Source organism: Homo sapiens, chromosome 21 (genome assembly GCF_000001405.40).
Source record: "Homo sapiens chromosome 21, GRCh38.p14 Primary Assembly".
NCBI lineage: Eukaryota > Metazoa > Chordata > Mammalia > Primates > Hominidae > Homo > Homo sapiens.
Window position 1 is genome coordinate 37493586 of NC_000021.9, and position 14014 is coordinate 37507599.

The 14014-nt window shown below is 37.4% G+C and overlaps 1 protein-coding gene across 7 annotated transcripts in view; it reads left to right on the forward strand.

The window, feature by feature from the left end:
* The window catches only part of DYRK1A (dual specificity tyrosine phosphorylation regulated kinase 1A), a 160786-nt gene that overhangs the window by 128013 nt on the left and 18759 nt on the right, over positions 1 to 14014 (forward strand). For 5 of the 7 annotated variants that reach the window (NM_001396.5, NM_001347722.2, NM_001347721.2 and 2 more), the window contains 3 exons: positions 2533 to 2673; positions 11698 to 12004; positions 12514 to 12638. In NM_001396.5, coding sequence (NP_001387.2) covers positions 2533 to 2673; positions 11698 to 12004; positions 12514 to 12638 — 573 coding nt within the window. Of the gene's footprint in view, positions 1 to 2532; positions 2674 to 11697; positions 12005 to 12513; positions 12770 to 14014 lie in introns of all 7 variants that reach the window. The other 2 variants (NM_101395.2, NM_130438.2) reach the window with 2 other exon arrangements.

Consider the following 14014-nt stretch of genomic DNA (forward strand, 5'->3'; position numbering starts at 1 on the left):
AGATTATAGACTTGTAGGGCTACAGAGACTGTGTGCAGTTCTGAAGTCTACAGGTTTTCAGTCTGTGTTCTGGAAGATTTTTCAAGGTCAGAGGCAGTGAATGGGAGGGCAGGGACAGGCCTTAACTTCCCTGCAGTCAGAGAAATTAGACTTTCATTGTTTTAAAAACTACACCTGTGGGGTTTTGTTTGTTTTTTAAAAGAAAAATTGACAATTTGCACGTCTTGATCAGTCTATTTATAAATGAGAAGAGAAAGGCCAAAGGCATTAATGACTTGTACCGGATTACACAGCTGTTAATAGGTGGTGTCAGAAACTTGTTTCTTCCATCCTTCCTTTTAATTCTTCTTTTTTTTTTTTTTTTTTTTTCCCGGAGATGGAGTCTTGCTCTGTCACTCAGGCTGGAGTATAGTGGGGCAATCTTGGCTCCCGAGTAGCTGGAATTACAGGCAAGCGCCACTATGCCTGGCTAATATTTGGATTTTTACTAGAGTTGATGTTTCACCATGTTGGCCAGGCTGCTCTCGAACTCCTGACCTCAAGTGGTCTGCCCGTCTCAGCCTCCCAAAGTGCTGAGATTACAGGCGTGAGCCACTGTGCCCAGCCCCTTTTAATTCATTTCAACTTGAACTGGTGAGCTACTCTTTTATAGTAACTGTCATAGTTTGTTTTTTTTTTTAGTATAAATCTTACTGTGTAAATTAGTATCTTTCTTGGGCTTAAACAATATTAAAAAAACTTTGCCATGTTACTCATTGTAAAGGCCGAGGTCCTTTGAGTAACCCACAGATTCCTACTTCCTCTGATGCCAGTTCTCTCACCACCACCTGGTCTCTCCTTCTCCCCTCACTCTGTGGTCCCTTGAAAACGCCAGCTACAGGCCCATAGCCCTTTGTATTTCTTCCTTCCTGTGCCTAAAATGCTCTTTTCTGAGATACTCCTTTGCTGATGTTAGTGTTTGCTCTGATGTCACATTCTCGGTGAAACCATATACCCCACTTACGGTTGCAGTACCCCTTCTCCTCATCCCATAGTTCTTAGCCAGCATCTGACATCATGTATTTAATTATTTATTGATAATGCCGGGCGCAGTGGCTCACACCTGTAGTCGCAGCACTTTGGGAGGCTGAAGCAGGCAGATCACTTGAGGTCAGGAGTTCGAGACTGGCCCTGCCAATATGGTGAAACCCCGTCTCTACTAAAAATAGAAAAATTAGCCTAGTGTGGTGTTGCGTGCCTGTAATCCCAGTTACTTGGGAGGCTGAGGCAGGAGAATGGCTTGAACCCAGGAGGCAGAGCTTGCAGTGAGCCGAGATCACGCCACTGCCCTCTAGCTTGGGAGACAGAACAAGACTCCATTAAAAAAAAAAAAAAATTGTGTGTTTGTGTGTATATGTATTTGCTGTCTTCCCACTATAACATAAACTTCTTTTTGGCAGGAATTTTTATGTTTTGTTTATTATTTTCTACCACTGAATATGGTTCCTAGCATATAATAGGCACACTCATTTAAAGTACTTAAAAAAGTACTTTATTAGGTCCATACTTTATTAAGCCTCTGGGATTTTGTGTGTGTGTGTGTGTGTGTGTGTGTGTGTGTGTGTGTGTGTGTGTGTGGTTATTTAACATGCTCTGAAAACTGGGTTGGGTGCCGTACCTCACGCCTGTAATCCCAGCACTTTGGGAGGTCAAGGTGGGAGGATTGCTTTATCCCAGGAGTTTGAGACTAGCATAGGCAACATGGTAAAACCCCATCTCCACAAAAACTTTTAAAAATTAGCTGGGCATGGGGCCGGGCACGGTGGCTCACACCTGTAATCCCAGCACTTTGGGAGGCCAAGGTGGACAGATCATTTGAGGTCAAGAGTTTAAGACCAGTCTGACCAACATGGTGAAACCCTGTCTCTACTGAAAAATATGCCTGTAGTCCCAGTTACTCAGGAGGCTGAGGCAGGAGAATTGCCTGAACCTGGGAGGTGGAGGTTGCAGTGAGCCGAGATTGCGCCACCGCACTTCAGCTTGGGTGACAGAGCGAGACTCCATCTAAAAAACAAATAGCCGGGCATGGTGGTACATGCCTGTAGTCCCAGCTACTCAGGAAGCTGAGGTGAGAGGATCACTTGAGCCTGGGAGGAGGTCAAGGCTGCAGTGAGCTCTGAGTGCACCACTGTACTCCAGCCTGGGTGACAGAGACCCTGTCTCAAAAATAAGTAAATAAAAAAAATTTTTTTAATAAAATTCTCCCAAAACAGAAACTTTAAAACTTCCTCTCATCTTTCCTTACTGTTCAACATTGTATCCATGGCTACCTGACATAATATGTTTGTTAATTGACTGTCTTCCCTTCTGTGGGGTATTTGACTCAAGGAAGGTAGGGCCTTTCTTGTGTTTGTTCATTACTGTATGCTGGATGTCTAGAGGAGTGCCAGACACACAGGAGGTGTGCAATTTATTTATGAATGAATGACTTGATGAGCAGGAGTAGATGTACAGTAGAAATTACAGGTTTTGTTGTTTTTATTTTTAATACAGGTAGATCAGATGAATAAAATAGTGGAAGTTCTGGGTATTCCACCTGCTCATATTCTTGACCAAGCACCAAAAGCAAGAAAGTTCTTTGAGAAGTTGCCAGATGGCACTTGGAACTTAAAGAAGACCAAAGATGGAAAACGGGTAAAATAAGGATATATCTGTTTTGAGCCTTTATTAAATTTCTTTATCATACCTGTCTTTTTATAGCTCATTTTGCATTTACTTGAAATCAGTGTGTTTCAGTTAACGATTTTATTGATACCTTACATAGATATTTTGTTCAGAAGTTGAGTATAGTTTGACCTGAACTATCAGGTATGGACCAGTGTTTGATTAATGGTCAGAGTTATCTTTAAAACTTCATATTAAAAACTGTATGCCTGCATTTTGAGGCAGCTGATCACATCACCATACTTGGTTTCAACAGTAGAATTAATAAATTTGATCTTTGTTTCTCACAGCTTGGGCATGTAATGAGGTCACAGTTAATACTGCAGCTGTGAACAGAAGTCACAATTGGAGTAAATGATTTTTTTTTTTTAAGTTCAGTTGGTAAATTATGTCAGAAGATGATTTTTGGCTTAAGTAGTATGTGATTTTTTTCCAAGGATATTAACTGACTAGATGGTCCTTTGATAGACTTCAGATTCCTAGCTCATTGACTTGGATAGCAAAAATTTCACATCTCCAAAATCTTTTAAAGTGAGGTTTTTAAAACATTTGGTTTGTTTTAGTAATTTTCTTTTATCTGAGGACTTTTTAAAAGATACCTAAACTATGTCAGTTTAATAGAGTAAATGATGCCAATTTTGCATCTTGATTTTTTACTTTTGTTTTATAGATCTGTAAATAATCATGTTTTGTAATTTACTTTGGTCCTAGTATTGAATGAATGTAATGTATAAATATGTGATTGAATATGACCCCCACACACACATGTACATACAGAAGTCACCTTGAGATCATAGTTTTGCATTTTATAACATTTAAGAGTTTATTTTTGTTTCAGTTATTATTTTGCCTTGTATTTTAGCGGACGCTGCCACCAGGTGTCATTTTCAGTGAACTGAAGATGATGGTTGATCGCCTTAATTCACCTCCACACAGCTATGGAGTCATAACTTTTAATATCAGATGATTTTCTTTAGAATATTTAAAAGCACATACGTAGTTGTATCTTTCAAAACTGATTTGTAAGTTCTTGTGTTCTGCCATATTCACTAAAGCTATAGGCAGTGCAGTTTCCAGCTGCTAAATTATGCCTATTCCCCATAAGGAAAGGATGGAAAATGCCATCGAGACCTCCTGGGCTCTTGTTTTTTCTTTACCCACATAGCTCATTAATCGTGGCCCATTTTCCATGTAACCAAAAACTTAGTCTGGGAATCCTTACTAGCTTCACCAGCATTTAAAGGCGTTCCTACCAGTTTGAATTAGCATGGAGAGGAAATTAAATCTTTTTTATGTTGTCTCTCTCTGTGATACAGGCTGCTGCTTTCTCCATTTCAGATTGATTTATTTATATTTTGCTTCTGCTATTTTTTTTCCTCAATAAAACATCCCATTCCATCTCCTAAATCTCTGCCTTACAAAAACCACAGTGACCTATCATTTCTTTCAAATTGATCTATAGGTATTACTATTTTTAGTTATTTGGGGTGGGGGCATTTCAGAAATGAGTAGATTGTCTTTTCCCTTTTAAAATTGGAAGTGGATATCTTAACATACATTTAATACATGTGAATTAACTAGATTTTTATGAGATTTATTTTAGTCGCACTTAGCAATTGACTTAAGCAACTTAATTTTTAAAAATATGAAATAATTATTTTGCTTTTAAGAGATAAATTTTGTAACAAAAAGTCAAATTCATAATCAAATAATTACATTACAAATGGTACACTAAGAATTTTGACTAGAGATACAAATAGATGTGCATATACTTTCATTGGCTATCTCTTTGTGGTTTGTTTACTGATTTTATTTTTACTTTTAATTTTTCATTTTACATTTCAAAAGCCCCATATTAGGGTTTTCCAATAATGAAATAAATACTATATATTTTTTTCCTGGTGGAGGTGCAGAATGAAGAAGACAATAAATGATGCTTTTTTTGAAGTACAGTTTATATAAGATACATATTTTAAGTGTTGAGTTTGTTTTCACCTTTGTGTACAGCAGTGTCCCCCATCTAAACCAATATGAAAGATTTCTATCATTCCAAATCCTCTTGTGACCTTTTCTGTTATCCCACTACTTTCTGATTTCTATCATCAAAGACTAGCTTTGCTTTTTCATTGGCAAACTTAGTATAATTGGAGCCTTATAGTATTTATTGTTTAGTTTTGGGTTTTCTTCACTCAGCAAATGTATTGTTTTTGGAAAATCATCAATATTGTATGTCTCAGGAATTAATTTTTTTTTATTGCTTCAACATATTTCATTGAATGAACATGCCATAATTTATATTCACCTGTCAGTGGTCATTTGGTTTGTTCCCAGTTTGGGACTATTATGAATAAGGCTGCAGGGAACAGTCTTTTATACATATGTTTTCATCTCTCTGACAGCACAGTCTAAGAGTAGAATTGCCAGGTCATGGGGTATGTGTTTACCTTCACAAGAAAACACCAGTTCTCCAAAGTTGTTTTATTTTATATTCCCATGATGTATGAGGGTTCCAGTTGCGTGACATCCTCACCATTTTGTATGGTTTGTCTGTTGGGTTTTAGCCATTCTGTAGTGGATATGTAGTGGTTTGCATTTGCATTTCTTCATGGCTAATACCACCTTTTCATATGCTTATTAGCCTTTCATACATATTCTTTGTCACAGGTCTTTCCCATCTTTTGCTTGTGTTACTGGGTTGTTTAATAATTGAGTAGTCCTTTGTCATTAAGTTTTTTGTCACATGTATGTCAGTGTATTTCCCTAGACTGTGGCTTTGCCTTTTCCTTTCTTAATATGGTATCTTTTGATGAATAGGGAGTTTTAATATTGATGAAGTTGTATTTGTCAACTTTTTTTGTTTGGTACTTTTTTTATCCTGAAAAATCTTTGCCATCTCCAAGTTTGTGAAGATATTCTGTGTTTTCTTCTAAAAGTTTTTTATTTTTATTTTTTAGTCTGCTTTTACAGTTAGGATTCTGTGGTCCATCTTGAATTAATTTTTGAGCGTGGAACAGGGTGAAGGGGTTGAAGTTCATTTTCTTCCATATGCTTACCTAGTAGTTACAGCAGCATTTGCTGAAAGCAATTACTTTACCCTGTTGATATGTTTTCTATTCTAGGTCCTTTCTTTTCACATATGGATTTTTAGAATCAGCTTGTAAATTTCTACCAAAAAAATGGTGCTAGCATTTTGATTTGGGTTGCAGTTGGGATTGCATTCAGGAAAATGGACATCTTAACAATATTAAGTCTTCCACTCTGTAAAGATGGGTTATCTCTCCATTTATTTAGGGCTTAAAATCTCTCAGCAGTGTTTTATAGTTTTTAATGCAGAAGTCTTACATATTTTGTTCACTTTATTCCTTAGTTTTTAATTTTTTAGATGCTATTTTAAATGGCATTTAAAATGTATAATTTCATAATTTTTCATTTTTGGTATACAGAAATACAACTGATTTTTGTATATTGATTTTGTATCCTAAGACCTTGCTAAATTCACCTATTCTAGTACAGTTGACCCTTGAACAATACAGGTTTGAACTGCACAGGTCCACTTGTATGCACATTTTTTTCTGACAAATAGAGTCAGCCCTCTGTATCTGAAGGTTCCACATCTGCAGTCAAATGTGGATCAAAAATACAGTATTCCCTGGATGTGAAACCTGTGTATGAGGGCCAACTTTTCACATATGTGGGTTCCGCATGGCCTCCTTGTGGAGCTTGAGTATGTGTGGATTTCAGCATATTTGGGGGGGTCCTGGAACCAACCCCCTGCGTATACTGAGGGATGACTGTATTTTTGTTGTTGAAATTTGATAGGGCTTTGTACTTAAACAGTCTTAATGCTCCATGAATGAAGACAGTTTTGTTTTTTCAACTGTATGTCTTTTTTGCTTTTTTAATATCATGAGTGGGTTTTGAATATTGTCATGTTTTTTCTGCACGTATAGAGATCATCATATGATTTTTCTCCTGTTTTGTGGTAAAATGCATTAATTTTTTGAATGTTAAGCCCCACCCTGTGATAACCTACACTTGGCCTTGATATACTATTCCCTTATATATATTGCTCAGTTCAATTTGCTAATCTCTTGGTAAGGAATTTTGTTTCTATGTCATTAATGGATATTTGCATAACATTTTATTAATAAAACCATCATTGGGGTTTGATTTTAGGATTGTGCTGGACTTGTGAAACTATTAGGAAATATTTTTTCTTGATTTTCTGAAAAAATTTGTATATGATTGGTTGGCATTATTTCTTTTGTGATGTTTAGTAGAGGTCATTGATGAAACCTTCAGAACCTGCGACATTTTTTGTTAGAAGGTTATTTAATTATAATTTATGTTTTTTGATGAAAATATGGTTATCCAAATTTTTTTTAAGTTAGTTTTGGTAAGTTGTATCTTTCAAGAAACTTTTCTTTCTCATCTAAATTGTTGAATTTGTTGGCGTAAACTTATCAATAATATTTTACTATAATTTTTTTTTAATATCTAGAGAATCTGTAGTGATAGTCTCTCTTTTATTCCTGATATTGGCCATTTGTACTTTCTGTTTTTTCCGCAAGTAGTCTTGCCTCAGGGTTGATCAAGTTTATTAATCTTTGCAGACAACCAGCTTTTGACTTTGTTGATTTCTTTTTTTTTTCTTTTCTTTTTCTATTCTTGATCTAGTTTCTATTCTGTTTTTTGCTCTTCATTATGTCCATTTACTTGGGTTGAATTTACTCCTTTTCCAGCTTCTTAAAGGTGGAAACTAGATCATTAATTTTTAAGCCTCTTTGCTACTATAGAATTTAATGGTATAAATTTCCCTCCAAGCACTGCTTTAGCTGCATTCTGCAGCTTTTTATATGTTTTTTTTGTTGTTGTTGGTTTTTTTTTTTTTTTTTTTTTTTAAGACGGAGTCTCGCTCTGTTGCCAGGCTGGAGTGCAGTGGTGTGATCTCGGCTCACTGCAACTTCCGCCTCCCAGGGTCAAGCAACTCTCCTGCCTCAACCTCCCAAGTAGCTGGGACTACAGGCACCCACCACCACACCCAGCTAATTTTTGTATTTTTAGTAGAGACGGGGTTTCACCATATGACCAGGATGGTCTTGATCTCTTAACCTCGTGACCCACCTGCCTTGTCCTCCCAAAGTGCTGGGGTTACAGGCATGAGCCACCACACCCGGCCACTTTTTATATGTTTTAACAGTCATTCTGAAATGTTTCTAACTTGTGATTTCTTCTTTAACCTGTCATTAGAATTTTGTTACATAATTTCAAAATATTTGAGGATTTTCTAGATGTCTTATTGAGTTCTAGTTTAGTAGCAGTTTGGTCACAGAACGTGATTTTAGTCCTTTAAAATCGAGACTTGTTTTATGGCCTAGCATCTAATGTGTCTTTGTGAATGTTTTATGTGTGCTTGATAAGAATTGTATTTTGTGTTTGTTTGGCGTAGTGGTCTCCAGCTATCAATGTAGATCAAATTGTTTGATATTTTTCTTCATATCTTTTATATCTTTGTGTGTATTTGTGTATATTCTGTCAGTAATTGAGAGAAGAGTCTTCATTGATAAGTTTGGATTTGTCTTAGACTCCCTTTGTAACATTGCTTTATGGTTTTTGAAGCTTTGTTAATAGGTATATGCATGTTTGATATTGTTACGACTTATTGATAAATTGACCCTTTTATCATCCTGAAATGTCCCTCTTTGTCTCTAGTCATGTTTGTCTTTAAGTCTGCTTTGTCCGATATCACTATAGTCTTACCAGTGTTCTTATTCTTGATATTTTCATGGTGTGTGTGTGTAGATATGAAAGATATGAAGAAAAATATGCAACATGTGTAGACACACACACACACACTTTTACCCTTTTACTGTAAACCTGTGCCTACCTTTATATTTAAAGAATTATTTTTGTGTTGTGTGCAACATATGATCAAGTCGTTTTTTTAATCTAGTCTGTTAGTGGTTAACCCATTATTCAGAGTTTTGGGTTTAAGACTTGTCTTATTTGTGTTCTGTTTGTCTTTCCTGTTCTTTGTTTCCTATTCCTTCTTTCCTGCCTTTTGCGGGGAGGTTTGTTGAATACTTTTTGGCATTTTATTTTATCTCTTGTACTGATTTTTTTACTTATTCCTCTATGTGTCATGTTTAGTGTTCCTTTTATAATATGCACGTTTAACATTAGTTTACCTTCAAATAATAATATATTGCTTGTTAAACAGTGTGATAACCATGTGATTCTATCTACCTCTTGTGCACTTGTTGTATTACTTTTGCATGTTATAAACCTCACAACACATTGTTGGCTGTTTAAATAAAAAATAGATTTAACACAAAAAAGAAATTTAAAAAGACATAAAATAAGGATAATAGATCTTTTATATTTATCCTTATATTTGCTCTTTTCTGGTGTTATTCATTCCTTTTTGCAATTCCTAGCTTCCATCTGGTATTATTTCTTCAGCCTCAAGACCTTCCTTTAACTTTTATTTTGTAATGAATAAGCTATCCCGATAAATTCTCTCAGCAGGTGTTGATCTGAAAATACTTGTTTACCTTTATTTTTTGGAAGATATTTTCAGTGAATATAGAATTATAGATTAACTTCTTTCTTTCAGTGAAAGAAAAAGATGTTACGATATAGCTTAAAGATGTATTGACTTTTTTTCTGGATTACACTGTTTCGGTAGAGAAGTCAGTGGTTATTCTTAGCATTGTTCCCCTGCATATAATATTTTCCCCCTCTTCCCTCTGGCTGATTTTAATATTTTCTCTTTGTTTGATTTCCGCAGTTTGACTATTTACCTAGGTATGATTTTCTTTGTATTTTTTCTCCTGGGAGTTCACTGAGTTTCTTGGATCTGTGGGTTGATCTCTATCATCAGTTTTTGAAAATCCTCAGATACAGTCTTGCCAAATATTTGTTCTGCTTTCGTCTTTCTTCTAGTTCTCCAGTGATGTGTATGTTACAGTGCTGAATATTATCCCAGAGGTCTCTGTCTGGTTTATTCATTCTGTTTTCTGTTTGTGTTTTTAATTTGGATAATTTCTTTTTCTGTCTTCTTGTTCACTGATTTCTTTTTTTTCCTTGTGCTGAGTCCAGTCTGTTGTTGAATCCATTAAATGGATTCATGTGATGTTATTGTTATTTTTGAGACAGGTTCTCACTCTGTCACCCAGGCTAGAGTGCAATGGTGTGATCATGGCTGATTACAGCCTTGACTTCCTTGGCTCAAGCAGTTCTTCTACCTCAGCCTCCCAAGAAGCTCGGACTACAGGAGTGGTGCAACCACCATACCCAGCTATTAAAATTTTTTGTAGGAACGGGGTCTGGCTATGTTGCCTTGGCTGGTCTTGAACTCCTGGACTCAAGCAGTCTTCCCACCTCAACCTGGGTGTAGAGACATGAGCCCAGCCTATATTTTTTAGTTCTAGCATTTCTATTTTGTTTTAAATATAGTTTTTCTCTTCTGAAATTCTACATCTATTCATATGTTGTCCACTTTTGAACTAAATTGTTTATCATAATTTATCAGAAGTAATTTATCATAATTATTTTAAAGTTCCAGTCTGCTATTTTCAACATCTGCACCATTTATTTATGTGTATCTTCTATTGGGTTTTTTTCTTTCATGTGATTGTGGACGTCATTTTTAAAAAATGTTTGTAATTTTTAAATGTGTGACAAATTTTCTTTGCTTAAGAACAGTTAAAGATGGAAGTGAGTCATATTTTCCCTCAGAAAGAGGCCTCTCAACTCTGTCAGGCCCCTCATGTGGGGCTGAGTTGATCTCTTTTGTAGCTTAGCTGACTCTGGGCTTTGCTTGTTTGACTTAGATTCTACTCCCCACTGTTTTCATATGTTTTGAGCTGGGATCAGGACATTCCCTTCAGCAGTGTTTGTGTCTTTAGAATCAGGGAAAATCTAGTGGTCTCTATACATTACTGCCCAGTCAGCAGCCCCACTCCTAACTCTCTGTGCCTGGGAGATCGCCTTCCTCCTGCTGTACTGCCCCATCCTTCTGTCTGTCCACTCCTGGCCGTCAGAAGTTGGTTCAGACTTGGGCTGGAGTCTTCTCGCTCATCTGTGGCTTACTTGCGCCTTCTCCCACTGCAGGTCTCTTCCAGGAGAGGCTTTTCATTTTGTAGAATTCAGGAGATTTTTGTTCCAACTTTGGATCCTCATACAGCTCTCTGATGGGTCTTTAAAAGGCAGTGATTTTATGACTTATTAGAGGAGGAACAATCATCTCACACATTTCTGCATTGTAACAGAAGTCAAAGTCTGGTGATGCTATTCTTAAATTCAATATTTATAGAGATCTTGAGGGTTATAGTATTATCTGTCAAAAATGAGTTTTCAGGAAATCTCAACACACGTTAGTTTATTATTACATAGATTTTCTAAAGGGAAGCATACATAATTTTCTCTTTTTCTACCATGAGCAGGTAGGGTTAGGCCAGTGCCTTTTTATGTAGAACATCCTTGGTGTCATTGCCATAGCTTTCTTGGGCTGCTGTTGCTGAAGGAAGTGTAACAGGTGCTGCGGGTGCACAGTTAGGTAGGAAAGAGGCTCCCAGCCAGGGTGAGCAGGGGCATGCATGTTCTCTGTAAAAGATGAGAGAAAATGCTTTTAGCCTTGTGGACCTCTGTTGCATATTTTTTGTTTTTGGTTGCTTGTTTTTACAACCTTTGAAAACAGAAAAACCATTTGTAGCTGGAGCTGTAGAAAACCAGGCTCTGGATCAGGCCATAGTTTACTGACCCCTGGGCTAAATGATCTTTATAGCCATTTTTGGTCTCAGAATTAATGTTGAACTGTAACTACCATGCATTTGGGATAGTAATGTGTGAAAAGGCAGAGGATTTAACTATGAAGTGTCCTTTTTAATAAAGGCCTCAACATATATATTTAAACATATTTGAAATTCAATTATGTGAGTGTTTACGTATTCCACCAAATTTAGAGAAAGCCTTTCATCTTCTCTCTTACAGGAGTACAAACCACCAGGAACCCGTAAACTTCATAACATTCTTGGAGTGGAAACAGGAGGACCTGGTGGGCGACGTGCTGGGGAGTCAGGTCATACGGTCGCTGACTACTTGAAGTTCAAAGACCTCATTTTAAGGATGCTTGATTATGACCCCAAAACTCGAATTCAACCTTATTATGCTCTGCAGCACAGTTTCTTCAAGAAAACAGCTGATGAAGGTACAAATACAAGTAATAGTGTATCTACAAGCCCCGCCATGGAGCAGTCTCAGTCTTCGGGCACCACCTCCAGTACATCGTCAAGCTCAGGTCTGTGCTGCTGCGGTTAGATTAGGCTTGGGAATGTTTTGTGTTTTCTTTATGAAGTGGGATTATTTTAAAGTGTTGATTAAATTTGTTAATAGAGTGGGGAGCAGTTACTTTACTTAAATCTGTTCTTTGTAGTTAGTAGTAAATTCATCTCCCCCAAAGCTCCAATATTTAGTTACGCATGTAATAAAATCTGCTTGGCAGTTGGAAATCTGTTTACTAACCAGCATTTTAAATTACTTCTTAAATGGAATTTTTGTCCACATTGCTTGAGTTTTCCCCTACCTTAACCAGACTTCATTGTATTTTAGTTAAGTGGTGGACGAGAGAGAACCTGGTTTTAGTCAGAGAATATGAAGACTTTGTGATATACTTTCAAGTTAATATTAGAGATTTTGTATGTGTGTGTGTGAGTACTTTCAGTTTTAATGGTATAGCTTCAGAGTATAAATTTGAACAAAATGAATTTTAAACTCACAGTTGTATTGTTTTGTGTTGTGATATTTCAGGTGGCTCATCGGGGACAAGCAACAGTGGGAGAGCCCGGTCGGATCCGACGCACCAGCATCGGCACAGTGGTGGGCACTTCACAGCTGCCGTGCAGGCCATGGACTGCGAGACACACAGTCCCCAGGTGAGCTCGCACGTGGTTCATTTGCTTGTGTCACCTGCCATTCTCAGGTGGAGCAGCACTGGATGCCAGGTGCCTTTAGAATGACCGTATCATTTACCCTAGAGGTTCATGACGTTCCTGTCTAAGGAAATGTAAGTATTTATCATAGAGAAGCACATTCTTGCAGTTTTCCTCCTCCTTGTCTAGAAGTGGCTAACACTTATTGGGGGCATAACAGTTGTTGTTTTGAACAGTTTTTTTCCTGTGTTTATCTCATTTACCAAAGCAGCGTTTTGAGCCTCATGCTTTTTTGATTCCCATTTTACAGTGGAAACTGAGACTTCATGGGCTAAGTAAATTTCCCTGGGTCATGATCTGAATGACTCGACTCTGCTTCCTCCCATGATTTTTTAGCATTTATAGTCCTGGATTCTGAATCAATTTCTGATTTGATTTTAGCCTTTTTGTTGTTGTTTTGTTTGTTTTCTGTTTTTAAACCTGTTGAAGAGGATCTAATTAAGTACTTTTTCAAAATTGGAGTGAAGCAGATGGTGATGGTAAAAATATTTAAATAATCTAATAAAGTTGTAAGTTGGTTCATACCGAGTTTTGCGTGATGGTGTTTGAAGGTGAGAGGCCAGTGTAGTATTTGATGGATGAGTAAACTGCTGTTGATTAAGAGTGCTCTCCATTCTTGTGACTAGGGCAGCTGAATGGTGCTGGAGAAAATCCCACATGCAGCTGTTTGTCAGCACTGTTAATACTCACCAACCTCTGCTGGGCAGTCTTACATGTTTTCCAAGTTGTCCCATCCTCTCCTATTCTCTTTAATAATAGTTTCAAACTTTTCTACTCTTAGAAACCTTTGCCCTCCCCTTCTCTGTTCTTACCCACTCTTTGCTTTGTAAGGAAAAGAGTCTTCAGACAGGAACTCTCTCCACTTTGTAACATTGAATACATGATCCTGCCTATGTGTGCACTGTCCACTTCTCCTCTACCCCTTTTTTGTTAGAAGCAGTGTGTTTCTTTCTGCCTAAGGCCAAGCCCACTCATTGCCCTGATCCCCTCTCTCCTGCCATCATGGGGGCTTTGCCCTTTGGTCTCCCTCAGCTCCGGTGTCTTCACTCTCTCCTCTTTTGGCTTTTTCTGTTGATCAGCATTTCCTCATCCTCAGGCCTCTCCCATCTTAAGCAGCACCTTTGCGTGTCCCCCTTTCTTTCCCTATACTTCTGCTACCTGTGGTCTTTGTCTCTTTACCCTGAAGACCTCTTTGCTTGTTCCACTTAGGTCCTGCCCTCCAACTCTCCTGCCGGTGTCAGCGGTGACCTTTATTCATGGGTCCAGTGGACACCCTAATGCTGTCTTTCTGCATTCTACAACTTCATTTGGCAGTGTTG